At 44.2% G+C, this 19,284-nt stretch overlaps 1 protein-coding gene, 1 long non-coding RNA gene and 1 pseudogene across 2 annotated transcripts in view; 1 reads left to right on the plus strand and 2 right to left on the minus strand.

Annotated features, from left to right (window-relative positions):
* Positions 1–2,696: 2,696 nt before the first annotated feature.
* LOC105370765 (uncharacterized) overlaps positions 2,697–19,284 on the minus strand; it is a 36,546-nt gene continuing 19,958 nt past the window's right edge. The window contains exon 2 of the long non-coding RNA XR_932103.4: positions 2,697–4,081. This is a non-coding gene — a long non-coding RNA (uncharacterized LOC105370765). The remainder of the gene's footprint in view (positions 4,082–19,284) is intronic.
* Positions 6,296–8,181, minus strand: NANOGP8 (Nanog homeobox retrogene P8). The gene has a single exon (NM_001355281.2). The coding sequence runs from the start codon at positions 7,994–7,996 to the stop codon at positions 7,079–7,081; it is 918 nt and encodes a 305-aa protein (NP_001342210.1). The 5' UTR covers positions 7,997–8,181; the 3' UTR covers positions 6,296–7,078.
* LOC441722 (U2 small nuclear RNA auxiliary factor 1-like 4 pseudogene) lies at positions 15,327–16,251 on the plus strand (annotated as a pseudogene).

Below are 19,284 nucleotides of genomic sequence, written 5' to 3' on the forward strand. Positions count from 1 at the left end.
CAAAAACACTGAGAAATGGAGGCAGATATTGTGGTCACTATGACATAGCGTATACTGATATTACCCAAAAAATGTACAGTAAAACTTTCCTGGTACAACGATATGTACTCATAAGTTTATGTCGTTTATTAAATCAATTAAGTTAAATGAAACTACCAATTGGCATTTTATTATGCACAACACTGTGATAATTTTTTTATCATCCTGTGCCTTTCTATTTCTCTTCTGTATATTCCTATTGTTTTAGAAGATTGTACCTACATACACTAGGATTTTTTTCTGAGTAGACAAGGAGAAACATATATAATCAGATTTTTTTTTTTTTTTTTTTTGAGACAGAGTTTCATTCTTGTTCCCCAGGCTGGGATGCAATGGCATGATCTCGGCTTACCGCAAACTCCACCTCCCAGGTTTAAGTGATTCTCCTGCCTCAGCCTCCCAAGTAGTTAGGATTACAGGCATGCACCACCACGCCCAGCTAATTTTGTATTTTTAGTAGAGACGGGGTTTCTCCATGTTGGTCAGTCTGGTCTCAAACTCCCGACTTCAGGTGATCCTCTCACTTCAGCCTCCCAAAGTGCTGGGATGACAGGCGTGAGCCACTGGGCCAGGGCCTAATTAGACTTTTAAAAATTAAATTAAACCCAGTACTGGGAATTTACAATGCCAGTCTGCTGCCTCTACTGATGCATGGGCAGAGATTTCACGCCTTATAGTTCCCTAGTGGAATGCTTCCCATAGTGTCATGTCCCACCTTTCTAACGCTGGAGATGGTAAGGTGTTAGACAAAAAGATTGCTATTGGAAGAGAAAGCTTAGAAGTTAAATATTCTCTATCATTTATTCAAAAAATTTATTTAGAGCCTACTGTGTGCCAAGAACATGCCAAATTTCTAGTGTTTGGAGACATATAAGTGAAAAAAATAGACAAGGTCTCTGCTGTTACAAAGCTTGTATTGTGATGGGGTGTGGGGAGAGAGAGACATTAAATGAGTAAATAAGCAAAAAGATAATTTTGAGGCGTGATGAGCTGCATGAAGCCGATAGAATGATAATGTGCTGGATGTGGATACTCAGGGAGGGTGTCAGTGGAGTGGGACTGCTCTAGCCAGGTGGCCTCTGGGCTGAGCAACCTGGGGAGGAACCAGCCTCCTGAGGGAGTGAGGGAAGGGTCTTCCCATCGAGGGAACAGTGAGGGCAACTTTTCATCTTGTGCCTTTCCTACTGGGTCCTCAAGTAGCCACAGCCTGAGGTGTAAAGCAAGTTCTAAGCTTCCCCAGGTGACTCCAAGACCCATGGCCGGGTGGTTTATTAGGAAGGCCCAAAAGAGTGTGCCTGTGTACAAGGGGACATCAAGGAAAAATCAGTGAGGAAGGGGAGAGAAGAGTCACATGCATGCTTTTATAAGAAGTTATGCACTTGGGTAAAATGACTATTTTGTTTTCTTCTTAATATTTAAAAGAAGGCACTCTTAAAACTGGAGGTGCAATCCAAAATAACAAAAATGGCCCTAAATTTTAAGGGGATTTAATTGAAGCTTGCGCTCATCCTGCTTGGCCACTAGAGAGCAGTATTGCCTATCAAATGCACCACAAGGCCCACGCTGCAGGCTGACATTTAGAGGGAGAAAATCGGTGCCACAGGTAAATCTCTTCTCTCATCTTGATTTCCCGCTCCTCCCCTACCCTCCCCATAATTCCACCCCTTAACTCCCTACTGTTTACCTATCACACACATAATCTCAGTGTTCTGGATAAGCCTTAGGTTTAGAGAAAAATCTCTGTTTTTTTGTTTTTGTTTTTGTTTCCGGAGTCTCGCTCTGTTGCCAGGCTGGAGTGCAGTGGCGAAATCTCAGCTCATTGCAACCTCTGCCTCCCGGGTTCAAGCGATTCTCCTGCCTCAGCCTCCCGAGTAGCTGGGACTACAGGTGCGCGCCACCAAGCCCAACTAAGTTTTGTGTTTTTAGTAGAGACGAGGTTTCACCATATTGGCCAGGATGGTCTCGATCTTTTGACCTCGTGATCCACCCGCCTTGGCCTCCCAAAGTGTTGGGATTAGAGGCGTGAGGCACCGCGCCCGGCCTAAATCTGTGATTTTTTTTAGCTAAGAATAAAATCAGCACATTTAACCATGTTGGAAGTATTTTGACCCTTCCCTCAGCTGGAGACTCTCAGTGGCCAACAACCCCGGGTCTAGGTAGCCTTTGGAGCAGTAGTGGGTTCCTTTTTCCCAGTTCTTTAGAATTAGACCCCTTATTTGGGGGAACGGGTTCACATTTTTAGCCTAGAGAGCAAGGAGTGTTGTTCCTTCCATGTGTTGTTAGATCGACTGTCTGCTGGTAGGTTGGTGGCCAGCAGAGACCTACTCTGCCCGACCTGGCCTCAGTGGACGCCAGGACCTTGCTTCCTTCTTCCTCAGCAGCCCAAGCTCCCGCTTCCTGAGTGGAAGTCTTGTGTTCTATGTGTTGGGGCCTTTTATGAAACAGTATGCAAGATAATGGGTTCACCAAGAGAAAAAGGAGGAGAAAGGGATGACAGAATTTTAGCCATAGCCACACAGGCAGAGCAAATGAAAGAATTTCAAATATGGTGTAAGAATATATTCCAAAAGAGGTAGGAATTTATAATATGGACCCTGCTTTCTTCCATAGAAAGATTTGAGGCATGCTACAGCAAAAATACACATCAAAAACACACATCGCTTGGAACATAATTTATTCATTCAAATTATATTAACTGCCCTACTTTCATGTGCTAGGAGCTAGGCCTATACCTGAACAAGATGGACATAGACCCTGCTCCTATGCAGCTTCTACTGGAATTGAGTAAGGTTGCAAATGAAATCAGAAATCACACAAGAAAGTTTGTGTCTGTTGGGGTGGTTCAGAGCTGGAAGGAAACAAAATGATCATCTCCAATATTCTTTATCTTATAGATGAGGAAATAGTGGTTCAGAAATATTGTAACTGATCCAAAGATGAAACAGTTTTTTCATTTGAGCACGAAAATTTGCTCTGAGGAAATAGGAAAATATCTATTACCTGGGTTTCCTGGCTTTCGGTGCTTGATTAAGAGAGAATAGTTAGGGAAAGGAGACTTCTTTGGGGGGATGCTAATTTATGAAAAAAATGATCTGGATCCTTATATCACAGACATGAAGAGACAATGAAACATTCTTAATATGACTATATAAAATCGTTAGCCCTTCATGAAATTGAGCCATATAGTATTGTGTTGTATTTTAGTGAAGAGATTTCTGTATGGGTTTAAACTACTGCATAGTTCAAGACTGTAACTTTGTTTAATCTAACTTGACATAAGAATGTAACCAAAAAAATCTGGAAAAATGTTTAACTCTTTTAAAGTCCAGCACCGAGCAGCCACTCAGCCAATATGATGACTGAAGCTCTTCAGATGAAACCACTGCCCCCACCCAGCTGTCTGGTCCAGTCAGGTCCTTTTTTAATAGCATGTTTTGGGGTCCTAAATTATCTGTGTAGTTGTCTCAGTAGAAGGGAAACTGACGAGAAAAAGAAACAGGGATGTTTGAATATGTTGTTCTTACTTTTATTAGAACATAGACTCCTAGAGCTGGAATTGTATCTTGGATTTTTGGTTCCGCTGGTAGCACACCGTGCTCAATAAAAATTAATCCATCAATCAACAGGACAGAAAATCCCATCCTGCCAGAAGCAATACTTCCTGTTTGTCCCATACAAAGCCAATTAGAGTGTTAGGATGTTGTAATGGAGACAGAAACTAAGGAAAGCGGCAAAAATAAAAAAATTCCCCCAAAACATCAAATAGAAAATGTAGGGGTAGGGGGATTGGGGGCACAAGATGGGTTGAACCAGATAGGGAAGATCCCCCAGTGTTGTCCTGCTCCCAGTCCAGGTTTGGGAAAATGCCGGCAGCGTTTCCCTGTGTCTTTCCCTCACAAAGTCTCCAAGTCTCTCCTCGAATGAGCTCCAAGGCTTGGGAGAAACAATCTCTTCCTCTGCCCGGGTTGCGTGGATCTCCAGTGGAAAGGAAGAACCGGAACTATGGTTTGTGCGCTCCTTATTGCCTCCGAAATATTTTTAACTGCAGAGGAAAGCCTGTATTATTTTGGAGAAAGGCGAACAGATAAAACCCACAGCAATAAATTTCAGGGAGTAGAAACTCCTTGTCAGAATAGATATGTTGGATATTTTGCACAAGTGAAACATCTCTACAACGGGACTATCCCTCCAAGACGGATACTCTTTATAAAAAGATTCATTATTTATTCGACTCGTGGTGTTGGAACAGGTGATGTATGTGATCTACAATTCCAAATAGTAATGGAGAAAAAGGTTGTCTTTTCCAGTACTTCATTAGGAAATTGTTCGCTGCCTCCCTTGGCCTCCCAAAGTGCTAAGATTACAGCCTCTGCCCGGCTGGCACCCCGTCTGGGAAGTGGGGAGCGTCTCTGCCTGGCCGCCCATCGTCTGGGATGTGGGGAGCCCCTCTGCCCGGCCACCCCGTCTAGGAAGTGAGGAGTGCCTCTGCCCGGCTGCCACCCCGTCTGGGAAGTGAGGAGTGTCTCTGCCCGGCCGCCCATCGTCTGGGATGTGAGGAGTGCCTCTGCCTGGCTGCCCCATCTGGGATGTGAGGAGCGCCTCTGCCCAGCCGCCCCATCTGGGATGTGAGGGGCATCTCTGTCCGGCCGCCACCCCGTCTGGGAAGTGAGGAGCGCCTCTGCCCGGCTGCCCCACCTGGGAGGTGAGGAGCGCCTCTGCCCGGCTGCCCTTCGTCTGGGAGGTGGGGAGTGCCTCTGCCTGGCCGCCCTGTCTGGGAAGTGGGCACCTCTGCCCGGCCACCCCATCTGGGAGGTAAGGGGTGTCTCTGCCCGGCTGCCCCGCCTGGGAAGTGAAGAGCGCCTCTGCTCGGCTGCCCTTCGTCTGGGAGGACGGGAGCGCCTCTGCCCGGCCGCCCCATCTTGGAGGTGAGGGGCATCTCTGCCCAGCCACCCTGTCTGGGAGGTGGGGAGCGCCTCTGCCCGGCCGCCCATCGTCTTGGATGTGAGGAGCACCTCTGCCCGGCCGCCACCCCATCTGGGAGGTGAGGAGCGCCTCTGCCCGGCTGCCACCCCGTCTGGGAAGTGAGTTGCGCCTCTGCCAGGCCGCCCCTTCTGGGAGGTGAGGAGCGCCTCTGCCCGGCCGCCCTTCGTCTGGGAGGTGGGGAGCGCCTCTGTCCGGCTGTCCCATCTGGGAAGTGGGCGCCTCTGCCCGGCCACCCCATCTGGGAGGTGAGGGGCGTCTCTGCCCAGCCACCCCACCTGGGAAGTGAGGAGCGCCTCTGCCTGGCTGTCCTTCGTTTGGGAGGTGGGGAGTGCCTCTGCCCGGCCGCCCCGTCTGGGAAGTGGGCGCCTCTGCCTGGCTGCCCCATCTTGGAGGTGAGGGGCGTCTCTGCCTGGCCACCCTGTCTGGGAGGTGAGGAGCGCCTCTGCCCGGCCGCCCCGTCTGGGAGGTGGGGAGCGCCTCTGCCCAGCCACCCATCGTCTGGGAGGGGAGGAGCGCCTCTGCCTGGCCACCCCGTCTGGGAAGTGGGGGTCGCCTCTGCCCGGCCGCCCCGTCTGGGAGGTGGGGGGCGCCTCTGCCCGGCTGCCCATCATCTGGGATTTGAGGAGCACCTCTGCCCGGCCGCCACCTCGTGTGGGAGGTGAGGAGCGCCTCTGCCCAGACGCTACCCCATCTGGGAAGGGAGGTGCACCTGTGCCCGGCCCCTCCGTCTGGGAAGTGAGGAGCGCCTCTGCCAGGCCGCCCTGTCTGGGAAGTGTACCCAACAGCTCTGAAGAGACAGTGACCATCAAGAACGGGCCATGATGACGATGGCAGTTTTGTCGGAAAGAAAAGGGGGAAATGGGAAAAGAAAGATCAGATTGTTACTGTGTCTGTGTAGAAAGAAGTTGACATAGGAGACACCATTTTGTTCTGTACTAAGAAAAATTCTTCTGCCTTGGGATGCTGTTAATCTTTAACCTTACCCCCAACCCCATGCTCTCTGAAACATGTGCTGTGTCAACTCAGGGTTAAATGGATTAAGGCCGGTGCAAGATGTGCTTTGTTTTTTTTTTTTTTTTTTTTTTTTTTATGTTTAAGCTGTATATTTACTCATTGAAACACTCGGTGAAATCAGGGTAAAATCAACTAAAGGAAAAATAGTTGTTTCATTCATTTGAACTTAAACCAACTAAAGTAGTACTCATGTCATTACGATGCAGCAAATACGAGACCTCTTTCTACAAAGATTAGCACAACCAACAAATTAGGGGATATAGCAAAACAGAGCCAAAAACGGTAAGAAATCAATTAAGTATGTTACAGCTTAACCCTTTACCTCAATAGTTTTTAAAAAATAAGCAAAGCCTCCCAATCCCAAACAATACGAATACATCTTCATCACCAATTTGTACTTGTATTTCTTATTCTTGAGGTTAGATTCTAAACCCTAAAGATATCCAAACTCGTATTAGATCTACTTATCTATAGCCAGAGACGGCAGCCAAGGTTATTAAAATGTCTTTTCTAGGCAGGGCGCGGTGGCTCACGCCTGTAAATCCCAGCTGTTAGGGAGGCCGAGGCGGGCGGATCACAAGGTCAGGAGATCGAGACCATCCTGGCTAACACAGTGAAACCCCGTCTCTACTAAAAATACAAAATATTAGCCGGGCGAGGTGGCGGGCGCCTGTAGTCCCAGCTGCTCGGGAGGCTGAGGCAGGAGAATGGCGTGAACCCGGCAGACGGAGCTTGCAGTGAGCCAAGACCGCGCCACTGCACTCCAGCCTGGGCGACAGAGCAAGACTCCGTCTCAAAAAAAAAAAAAAAAAAAAGTATTTTCTCCAGGAAGATCCAATAGGAAAAAAAAAAAAAAAAAGAAACCTCGCTGATTAGGCTCCAACCATACTCCACCCTCCATGAGATTGACTGGATGGGCATCATGGAAACCAGAACACGTGGTTTCCAAACAAGAAAAATCCTATGAAGGATGGGAGGAGGGGAGAGGAAGGATTCAGCCAGTGTCCAGACTGAAATTGAGTAATATCAGTTTCACTCATCTTCACACGTCTTCAGGTTGCATGTTCATGGAGTAGTTTAGGAATAAATCCATGGTTTGTGGAGTACTAAAATACCTAGTGGTCTGCTGTATTACATTAAGGCCTTCCCCAGCAGCTTCCAAGGCAGCCTCCAAGTCACTGGCAGGAGAATTTGGCTGGAAGTGCATGCAGGACTGCAGAGATTCCTCTCCACAGTTATAGAAGGGACTGTTCCAGGCCTGATTGTTCCAGGATTGGGTGCACCAGGTCTGAGTGTTCCAGGAGTGGTTGCTCCAGGACTGGATGTTCTGGGTCTGGTTGCTCCAGGTTGAATTGTTCCAGGTCTGGTTGCTCCACATTGGAAGGTTCCCAGTCGGGTTCACCAGGCATCCCTGGTGGTAGGAAGAGTAGAGGCTGGGGTAGGTAGGTGCTGAGGCCTTCTGCGTCACACCATTGCTATTCTTCGGCCAGTTGTTTTTCTGCCACCTCTTAGATTTCATTCTCTGGTTCTGGAACCAGGTCTTCACCTGTTTGTAGCTGAGGTTCAGGATGTTGGAGAGTTCTTGCATCTGCTGGAGGCTGAGGTATTTCTGTCTCTGAAATCTATCATTGAGTACACACAGCTGGGTGGAAGAGAACACAGTTCTGGTCTTCTGTTTCTTGACCGGGACCTTGTCTTCCTTTTTTGCGACACTATTCTCTGCAGAAGTGGGTTGTTTGCCTTTGGGACTGGTGGAAGAATCAGGGCTGTCCTGAATAAGCAGATCCATGGAGGAAGGAAGAGGAGAGACAGTCTCTGTGTGAGGCATCTCAGCAGAAGACATTTGCAAGGATGGATAGTTTTCTTCAGGCCCACAAATCACAGGCATAGGTGAAGATTCTTTACAGTCGGATTCTTCAAAGCAAGGCAAGCTTTGGGGACAAGCTGGATCCACACTCATGTTAGTATAGAGGAAGAGGAGGAAAAAATTTAAGAGGTGGACTGGAAAAAAGGTTAAGGCAGCTTTAAGACTTTTCTGGAAGATGTTAGAGAAATAGGACCTCCAGAAGGAAAAGTATCAAGAAATTGGGATAAAGTGAGTTGCCTGCATAATAACATGAGGCAACCAGCTCAGTCCAGCAGAACGTTAAAATCCTGGCAAGATGTGCTTTGTTAAACAGATGCTTGAAGGCAGCATGCTGGTTAAGAGTCATCACCACTCCCTAATCTCAAGTACCCAGGGACACAAACACTGCTGAAGGCCGCAGGGACCTCTGCCTAGGAAAGCCAGAGACCTTTGTTCACGTGTTTATCTACTGACCTTCTCTCCACTATTATTCTATGACCCTGCCACATCCCCCTCTCTGAGAAACACCCAAGAATGATCAATAAATACTAAAAAAAAAAAAAAAAGAAAATATAACTGGACAAAAACAGGTAACGGTGGAAAGCCACTACCCAATTCCATTTTCCCCTTGACACTCTCTTTCAACTTATCCTCAATGTAATAGAAGTTTGACTGCAGAGTGGCATCTTGGACTGCCCACGTTTCCTGGTCAGTGTTGGGCAGGGGAAGCTGTCTGCCTTCCTAACAGCTCACCCAGAGGGCACTCACTGCGGCGCTCCCAGCAGTCTTGCCATCTACCTGACGCCCCCACCTGGGCACCAGCTCCTGAGTTCTCCTTGCTCAGCTTTGCTTGGTCAGAAAACAAGAAGGACAATTCATCTGGGAAGGGATAAATAGGCAGCTGGCAAGAGAGAGCAAGCTAGTTACTACTGATAAGGGAGGGTGGGTGTGGGAAGGAAAGCGAGACAGGCAAATTGGGAATTCTTTGTGTCATGAACCCTCTTGAGAATTGATTAAAAGCTACCAAGGCTTTCTCCAGAACACAACCATATGCATATGTGCACACAATTTTGCATTCATTTCATGAGTTCCCATCTCACTTTCACACAAACATACCTCTTGTTCTAAAAACAAACTCTAGAAGCTATAAGCTTCCAAATCTTACTAACCAAGAAATTCTGAAAGACTTTTTAATCATGGCAACTTTTTAATATCAAGGATTCTCCAATTGTAGTCTTATATGTTTCAAATATAATCAGTTTCAAAAGCAATTCCTAAAACACTAAAAATGGTCAAAATGGACACTTATGGTAAAAAATACTTGTTACCAATGTTTCGTCCCACGTTGCAAAGCACACTGTATTTCAAGTTTCTACATATGCATTTACATAAAATTATTTTTTTTTGAGATGGAGTTTTGCTCTTGTTGCGCATGCTGGAGTGCAATGACGCGACCTCAGCTCACTGCAACCTCTGCCTCCTGGGTTCAAGTGATTCTCCTGCCTCACGCTCCCGAGTAGCTGGTATTACAGGCGTCCACCACCACAAGCGGCTAATTTTTTGTATTTTTAGTAGAGATGGGGTTTTGCCATGTTGGCCAAGCTGGTCTCGAACTCCTGACTTCAGGTGGTCCACCCACTTCGGCCTCCCAAAGTGCTGGGATTACAGGTGTGAGCCACCACACCCGGCCTATTAATTTTGTTTAAAGAAAAAAGACTTCCAAATCTTGGATGGCGGTTGGGTGGTGGGGGTGTCAAATCACCTGGTATTTGACTATTCAGGGCTCTTTTATGGAAATAAAAAGCACAAAAGCAAACAAAACAGTTTTGTCCATCTACCAGGCTCATACACTCTGTGTCCTGAAAGGAGGGGGAACATCTCCAAGTTCAACTAAAAATGTATTAACTGCAAGCTGGGCGTGGTGGCCCACACCTGTAATCCTAGCCCTTTGGGAGGCTGAGGAGGGCAGATTGCTTGAGCTCAGGAGTTCGAGACCAGCCTGGGCAACATAGCAAGACCCGTCTCTAAAAAAAAAAAATGCTAACTGCAAATTGCACATTCTGCAAATGGTTCAGCGTAGGAACAGAAGGCTTTTTCTGATCTCTTCTTGAAGGTAGGTCCAGGGCCTTTGGCTTATCTTCTTTTCAAAGACCATACAGGAAGAGGTTTTCAAACAAGGATGGAGCAAGAGGGCAGCGGCGCTTGGACCACCTGCAGGCAAAGACACAGGAGAAACCCCACCTGCCCTCACAGCATGTGGGAGAGCAGAAGGGGCAGAGATAACCGCTGGCAAAGGGAACATGTGGGAGAAAGTAAGGGGAAATCAATAAAACAGAGTTTAAAAAAATAATGTGCTTTCCATGCCATGAAGGAAAGTCATGATGAAGGCCCAAGTTAACTCCCCAAATGCTTTCAGGATCACAGAAATGACACTGTCAAATACAACATTAGTTTTCTGAAGCCTACGGGCTGAATTTTATTTATGTTAAGTTAACTCCCATTTAAAAAGATAGCATATTCTACATCAAAGGGAAAAAAACTTTTCCTAATGTATCCATTTCTCTTCTGAAGCACACGAGCTGTTGCTATATAATGCTTTGTGGTGTTTTCTCAACTGTACTTGCTTTTCTCTGTATCAGGAAATGCACAGTAAACAGGCTCAAGCCTGGGTCTGCTGCTTCTCAATGCCAAACCGGCAATCGTTTGATTGTGTGTGTGTTTTTAAATGCATTGTTAGTTTTAACTAAGATTTATATATGTTCCATGAATGATGTTTCAAAGCAGGAGAGAAAAAGAGGATCAGGCATCGCTATAAAATCAGTTCCTGGTAAATTGTGTAAAAGTGCAAACCATAAGCTGTCAAGAGGATTGGACTGGGGTGGCCTTTGGGGAATGATTCAGGTTTCTGCGGTGACTGTTTTGTTCTCCCTGGAAGTTCAGCTGGTGGTTTCCTGGGTCTGATCAAAACTTCACCACCTGGTGAAGATAAGCACTAGCTGTCTACCAGCTTTCTGGATATGGTTTTCCTGGCCATCAGAAGAGACTAAAATTTCCATCTTTCTGAATTGCTGGCCTTCTCATTGTTCTCCAAATATACTTTGCTCATTTCTGAGTCTGAGTGCTAGTTAGTTTGAACTAGTTAGCTAGTTCTTTTCCGAGTGTAGAGAAGTCAATTTTAGTGTAAACACAGTGGATAAGACCATGGACTTGGCAGTGGGATGGCCTGGATTAACTCTCTGGTCTGCCATTTACTGGTCCATGTCTCAGTTGAAAATGGGGATAATACGATTATCTACCTCACAGAGGTATTAAGAGCAAATAAGTAATATGTAAAAGTTATTTAGAATAGTACCTGGTACATAGTGAGTTCTTTATTTTAGAGTGTTTGCAATGATGATGATTGTTGTAGTTGTTATTTTTCTGGTGACCTCATTACAGTTTTTTTCTCTGGGGAGCTGATCTTGTTCTGACATGGCTTAGATGGAGCTGACCTCACCTGCCTCTGTTCTACGGGTGGGCACATAGCCCAGACCTGGCCAATCAATGAATTCTGTCCTCCCAGCTACAGTGATTGCCTCAGGGATAGGAAAGTGATATAAATTGGTCCAATCAGGGGATCACAGGAGTGTTTTTAGAACTGTTGAGAAAGAGAGCTTATCTTTTGTGTTGGGGTAGTTAGGGAGTAGGATGTAAGCCAGAAGATGCAAGGGGCTACCTGTGTGCAGTCAGGCTGAGACTGAAACCAGTGTAGAGGAAAGCAGAGCCAGGTGATGAAGGGAGAAAGAGGAATCAACTGAAATTTTAGGACCCCATGGCTCTAGCCATGCCTGAAGCCCTAGGACCACTCTTTCTGCACAAGTCAGTTTGCGTTGGGTTTCTCTCCTTGGCTGTCACTAACTCAGCCTCCCCTATGACACAATCTATCTCCTCTACCCATTCATATGCAACCCATCCTTTGAGGCACTGTACAAAGCCCACACCTTCAGGAAGTAATGCTTCCTTTTCTAAGTTCCTATAGTACCTACCCTCTGGGCCATCAATCTAGTACTTATTATTCACTTTAGAAAGTATATCTTTGCCAATGCAGCTATGGCATCTCTTCAGTGCTACAGATTGACTCCGTGTTTTACTGTTTGGTGATTTCCATAACCGTTTGCACATCTGGCATTTTACAGCAAGCTTGCCAGTATTTATTATTTTAATTCCTTCTATCCTCTTATATCCATCAGAAGTGGATTAAATACTTCAGTATGCAAAGACATGTAAGCATAGGAGTACATGAAGTAAACCGAAGATGGGGCAAACAAAGTTATATTGTTCATGTAGGTAACTTTCAAGTGAAAAGCCCAGCTTCTTGTCACATGTGAGAAGCAGCAGTAGGATGTGGACTTGTTTATATTTGTCCCATCAGGTTGTAGGCTTCATAAGAGCAAGGACTAGCTCTATTTTTTAAACACTGTCCTTAGTGCTTGGCTCAGTATATGGCACATTGTATATGCTCAGTAAATACTTGTTGAGTGAATGCTGCATGTTGTAGTATAGGGGGCTTCCATTAATAACTAACCCTTACCAACATGTAAAGGAAATGAACTAAGGAACTAAGAAAGGAATTGCTAGTTCTGTGAAGCCAACACCTTCTTTCCATTATTCTGAGCTCTTTCTACCATCACCTCATTTCTCCAAATTACAAGAATAAATTAAGGCATTCCCTAGGATGACAGATGAGGTGTAACGACAATAGTATGTTTGGAATTTCCAGGTCTGTAAGAAAATTGGTATGAATTCCAGATCCAACAAGGAAAGGCTTACGATCTTCAGAATGAGTGAGTGGAGGAATATGAAAGTTGAATCACAGGTTTATAAAAAGGCACTGTATTGAAATGTTCACTATATACAAAAAAAAAATCTGGGTTTGAATCAGTCTTATTTTCTTGGCATCATTATACAGCATCAGTTCTATAGAAGCTTTATGTACTATAAATTGAAGAAAATACATGCTCCTTTTCCTTTAAACTAGTTGATTTTCTCCCATAGAAAGTATGAATATATTAGTTATTCCCTTTCCCAGCACAATATTTTTTATTCATCCTTTATTATTCACATGGCAAAATTATCATTAAAAGCTCATTTTATTAGGTCAATAGTCTTGAAAACATTGTTGCTCCTTCACCATAAAATGCAAGCTAAATCAGACAGCCAAGGCCTTCAGTAATTTGACCCCAATCTACCTTTCCATGGCTGAACTTTTCCCCTGTCCCCCATACAAGCCTCTAATCCATTTACCTTTGTCTATTTACTGTCTCTCTCACTTGATTCATACCTTTGTTCTTCTGAACCTTTCTGCCTATTCAAACATGTGTTTTCTTTTAAGTAACATTCTTTAATCACTCCAACTGGAGGTAGGCTGTAGCGTTTATGACCTGCATCACTAGTTCCTTGTGTTGTCTCAGCATTTCATGTGAATGTGTTCTATGTCTTTTACTATAAACTTTTTAAAGGCAGGGATCACATCTTAGATTTACTGATATTTTTCTTTCTTACTTTTCTTTTGAGATGGAGTCTCACTCTGTTGCCCAGGCTGGAGTGCAATGGTGCAATCATGGCTCACTGCAGCCTCAACCTCCCTGGGCTCAGGTGATCCTCCCAACTCAGCCTCCTGAGTAGCTGGGACTACAGATGTGTGCCACCATGCCCAGCTAATTTTTCTGTATTTTTGGTAGAGATGGGTTTTCAACATGTGGCCCAGGCTGGTCTCAAACTCCTGGACTGAAGCACTCCACCTGCCTCTGCTTCCCAAAGTGCTTGGATTACAGGCGTGAGCCACTGTGCCTGGCCCCTCTTTGCATTTTTCTTTACATATAATATAAATTATTTCAATGATTATTATGGTAATAACTCTGGTAATACATAGCTAAGGATTTTCACTGTTCATGTCTGGGGAGGTTTTGCTCTTTCTCAGGCAGTAATGCCAAGTGCAATAAAGTTTTCAAATTTATAAACTATCCTTCATGATTGAAGTTAATCAAAATTGCTTTCCAAATCTTCTGTTTCACAAAGATCTTAATAACTGAGAGCTTTGCAAACCAATAAGCAAAAGACAAAATACCTAACAGAAAATTGGGAATGGGATCTTTATACTTAATAAATAGCTACTAAAATATGGAAAGATGCCAATCTTTACTTAAAATTAAAGGTGAGAAAATAAAAAATGAGATTCTGTCTTTCCACTCTGAGACTGATGAAAAATTTTAAACATTAAAATTGCCAGTTAACAGTGTGGGGAAAGGTATAGGGAACTAGGAACCTATATACACAGCTGGTGGGAGTACAAATCTGGTATAATGACTTTGGAGGGCTATTTAGCAATATATATGAAAATTTAAAATTCACCTAATCTGGCCAGGTGTGGTGGTGCACGCTTGTAATCCCAGCATTTTGAGAGGCCTAGGTGGGTGGATCACCTGAGGTAAGGAGTTCAAGACCATCCTGGCCAACATGGTGAAAGCCCATCTCTACTAAAAAATACAAAAATCAGCTAGGCGTGGTGACAGGTGCCTGTAATCCCAGCTACTCGGAAGGCTGAGGCAGGGAGAATTGCTTGAACCCTGGAGGTGGAGTTGCAGTGAGCTGAGCTCGTGCCGCTGCACTCCAGCCTGGGCAACAGAGCGAGACTCTATCTCGAAATAAACATAAATAAAATAAAATAACATAAAATAAAATTTACCTAATCTTAGATTGAAGAAGTCTACTTTTGGGTATGTGTGTGTGTGTATATATATATATATATGTGTGTGTGTGTGTGTGTGTGTGTATATATACATATTTAAAATTATTTAAATGCATAAATATATGTATATGTAAAAAGTTGCCCATTGTAGTATTATATACAATAGCAAAAGACCACCTAATGCTCTTCAGTAGGGGATTAACCCGAGGTTAAGTAGCAAGCTGTGGTGGGACCAGGATTTGAATCCAAGCTAACTCCACATTTATAAATACAATGCTTTACTGCTGTCAACTGAAATAGGGCCATTTTCTTAGAAGCTCAAAATGCTCTATTACACGTTGTTCTGGGTTTTGGCCAAAGGAAGAGTAGTTAGAAATATGTCATAAACATTACTAAAGTCATTAAACCAGTCAGTAACAGAGACAAGATTAGAATTCCCATGTTCTTGAGTCTCAATCTATGAAGCACCCTGCCGTTTCTCATCTCAGTTTTGAGTTGACACACATTTATTTAACTTAGTTGCATGTCTGTAAAAAAAAAAAAAATATTCTAATGAATCTTTCAAGGTGTTCTGCTAGCTGCTCTGTTTTGAAGTATATCTGATGCATGATTTATGTATTAGATTGATTAAAAACACGTCCATTACTTCGGGGCCTTTGGTGGATTTTTAAAGGAAGAATATGACATATTCAATCCAGCAGTTAAGATTCTCCACAGGTCTCCCGCGGGCGTCAGCAGGGGCGGCGGCGGGTGGGAAATGGCGGAGTGTCCAGCCTCCATCTTTGGCACCGAGAAAGTCAACTGTTCATTTGATTTCAAAATTGGAGCATGTCTTCATGGAGACAGGTGCTCTTGGTTGCACCATAAACCGACGTTTAGCCAGACCATTGCCCTCTTGAACATTTACTGTAACCCTCAAAACGCTTCCCAGTCGGCCGACGGTTTGCGCTGTGCCCTGAGCGATGTTGAGGTGCAGGAACACTCTGATGAATTTTTTGAGGAGGTTTTTATAGAACTGGGGGAGAAGTATGGGGAAGTTGAGGAGATGAATGTCTGTGACAACCTGGGAGACCACCTGGTGGGGAACGTGTACTTCAAGCTTCCCCGTGAGGAAGATGCGGAAAAGGCTGTGATTGACTTGAACAACCGTTGGTTTAACGGACAGCCGATCCACGCCGAGCTGTCACCTGTGACGGACTTCAGGGGAGCCTGCTGCCGTCAGTATGAGATGGGAGAATGCACACGAGGCGGCTTCTGCAACTTCATGCATTTGAAGCCCATTTCCAGAGAGCTGCGGCGGGAGCTGTGTGGGCAGCGTCGCAAGAAGCATAGATCAAGATCCCGATCCCGGGAGCGTCATTCTCGGTCTGGAGACCGTGGTCATGGCGATGGCGGTGGCGGTGGCGGTGGCGGTGGCCCAGGCGGCGGCGGCGGACGGGAGCGTGACAGGAGGCGGTTGAGAGATCGTGAAAGATCTGGGCGATTCTGAGCCATGCCATTTTTACCTTACGTCTGCTAGAAAGTGTTGTAGTTGATTGACCAAACCAGTTCATAAGGGGATTTTTTTAAACAACAACAACAACAACAACAACAACAAAAACACAAAGATCGGTTTCTGAACAAAATTTGTAGTGATAACAGTTAAAAAAAAAAAGATTCTCCATAAATAGGTCGGGCGCGGTGCCTCACGCCTGTAATCCCAGCACTTTGGGAGGCCGAGGCGGGCGGATCACAAGGTCAGGAGATGGAGACTATTCTGGCTAACACGGTGAAACCCCGTCTCTACTAAAAATACAAAAAATTAGCTGGGCGTGGTGGCACACGCCTGTAGTCCCAGCTACTCAAGAGGCTGAGGCAGGAGAATCGCTTGAACCTGGGAGGCGGAGGTTGCAGTGAGCCAAGATCACACCACTGCACTCCAGCCTGGGCGACAAAGAGAGACTCTGTCTCAAAAAAAAACAAAAAACAAAAAACAACAACAACCCTCCATAAATAGTGGAGGGATGGCTCACCTTTTGATGCCAGATCAAAAAGATGCTCTGAGTGGTGGGAGGGTGGGAGGAGAGTGAGGGACCAGAAATTGCTTAGTATGTACAAGGTACACTATTCGGATGATGGCTATGCTAAAAGCCCAGACCTCATCACTATGCAATATATCCATGTAACAAAACTGTCTTTATACCCACTAAATCTAGAATTTAAAAAAAGCTCTGAGGAGATAAGTAGACTTGACCTCTCTAACTCAAGATGCGGAAACAGAGCTACCACAGTCTTGCTTCCATTCCTTATGGCTCAAACCTTCAAATGTCTTTTGCAAAGGCAAGCAACTGATTCTTCTCCTGCCAGGCTTAAGTTATTAAACTCCCATTACATTTAGACAAAATGCAATTCTCAAAATAGGATGCTAACACAAGTGCCAATGTGCCTAGTAAACTGAAGGAAGGAAGAATGATTGAAAGTACAAAGATCTTTCAAAATCAACATTGTGTACAACAGATTCATAATTCCTTTTAGAAGTTAGCTCTGGAAGGGGCACTAGATGGACAGAACATAAGGGTTCATTTCTGTCTCCCTGACTCTGTTTTTCAATTAAGTTTTAGGACTTGCCAAAAATATTCTAGGGTTTGGAAGAGAAAAAGGTAAAAAGGTTGCAAGAGTGCAAGATTTCAAGATTCATCTTTGAAAGCTAGGTTAATGGATTAGTCTGCCAAAAATATGAAAATATAAAAATATTATAAATTAGTCAGATGTCCATGGCTGTAATCTGTTTGCCTGATGCCAGATGTACTTATGATAGGAAAAACAGGCGGCTTAAAAATAGCTAGAAAATGTTAAGTACTTATATAACACATTTTTTTGTTTTAAGTATCAAATGGGTTGTTATCTTATTAGGGTTTCCAGTAAAAGAAGTGCCTATGATTTAACTTGGACCAATGGTAAGTTTTCCCATTTTAGGATTTCAGTGTTCATTTAGGGAACTATAATACTATGTAGTACAAATCCTTTATTAAATCAATGCATTCATTATCTGAAATAAAAGTTTTATTCAATCACTGTGTTTTGATAGACTAGACTATCGCACACAGGCAGGAGATAATGGATTGAAGAGAGTGTCCTTGAAGGAGAGGAGCTCACAGCTCCTTTCTTATACATTCCCAGGAGACAGTGCATTTCTGAAACTATCAAGATTTCAGAAGGCTGGCAAGGACTGTGAGCCAGCCCTATGTGGTATAACAAATCAGCACATGAAGGAGCTAACCATATAACTAGTGAGAGGAAAAAAATGAAATCACCTCTGCTTAAAATCTCTCGATGTCATCTTTTAACTTATTTAAGGTGATTGGCTCAGGTGGCTTTATGGCGACCCAGCCACGTGTATGGTAAGGAGTCACTAGAAGCCATCATCAAAGTTAGCAAATCTATTTCTGCTCTCTGCAAGCTTTACTCACTTAGATTGATCTGCCCATCTCTCTTACTGCCCAACAATTAGGGAAAGAGCAGGAAGCGCTCTTAGGAGAGGGAGGAGAAAGAATACGAGGGCTACTAGGCAGATATGCACAAACACAACACAGATCCAGAAAAAAGATGCTAATTGGTATTTTTACATTGGTATGCAAGAGGGAAATCAAGGCTCATTTAAGAAAATGCTCACTTTCTGGGCTGGGCACGGTGGCTCATGCCTGTAATCCCAGCACTTTGGGAGGCTGAGGTGGGTGGATCATGAGGTCAGGAATTCAAGACCAGCCTAGCCAAGATGGTGAAACCCTGTCTCTACTAAAAAGACAAAAATTAGCCAGGCATGGTGGTGGGTGCCTGCAATCCCAGCTACTCGGGAGGCTGAGGCAGAGAATTGCTTGAACCCGGGAGATGGAGGTTGCAGTGAGTGGAGATCATACCACTACACTCCAGCCTGGGCGACAGAGTGAGACTCCATCTCAAAAAAAAAAAAAAAAAATGCTCACTTTCCCATAGCTGCCTACAACTTTGTGCACTGATAGGGTCTTACATATTTTTGTGTTTTGGATGCTGGGATAGTCATCAACATACACTAATTTTGATGCTGATGATCTCTAAACTCTTCTGGCAAGAGGGCATGGTTAATAAAAGTTAAAAAAAAACAGAATAAAATGGATTCATATATATATGTGTGTGTGTATACATACATAAATATATATACACACACATATATATATATATAATGTTTAGAACCGAAATCAAATATATATTTGTGTACGCTAAGAGAAAACCTTGTTAGTTAAATATTGATGTGAGGGTCTGTCACTTAGTGGCAAAAATTCTTCAAATTTCAAATCTTAAAGATCTCTTCCTCAGTTGTGGGTTTCTCGCAATCATGTGCTGGATGCATACACTACTACAAAGATCTCTGGGAAATGCTCTTTGGCAGCAGGACTTGGAAATTATGACGAAAAAACACTCACTAGCACAAGTTGTGTAAAAAGATGTTGATGCTACTTTCTGAACATTTAATAGCTGTTTGCATTTATTTATACACATAAGTGGCATCACCATATTAATATAAACTGTTTCTATCAAAAGTCGAAGGAAGTGAAAAGGAGAAGAGGGAGATTCCTAGAGAAAAAAGGGAAGCACAGAATCAGCAGCCTCTACCTTCCAAAAACATTTCAAAAATCACTCTACCCATCAGGAGGATTTT

Source organism: Homo sapiens, chromosome 15, assembly GCF_000001405.40.
Source record: "Homo sapiens chromosome 15, GRCh38.p14 Primary Assembly".
Taxonomy (NCBI): Eukaryota; Metazoa; Chordata; class Mammalia; order Primates; family Hominidae; genus Homo; species Homo sapiens.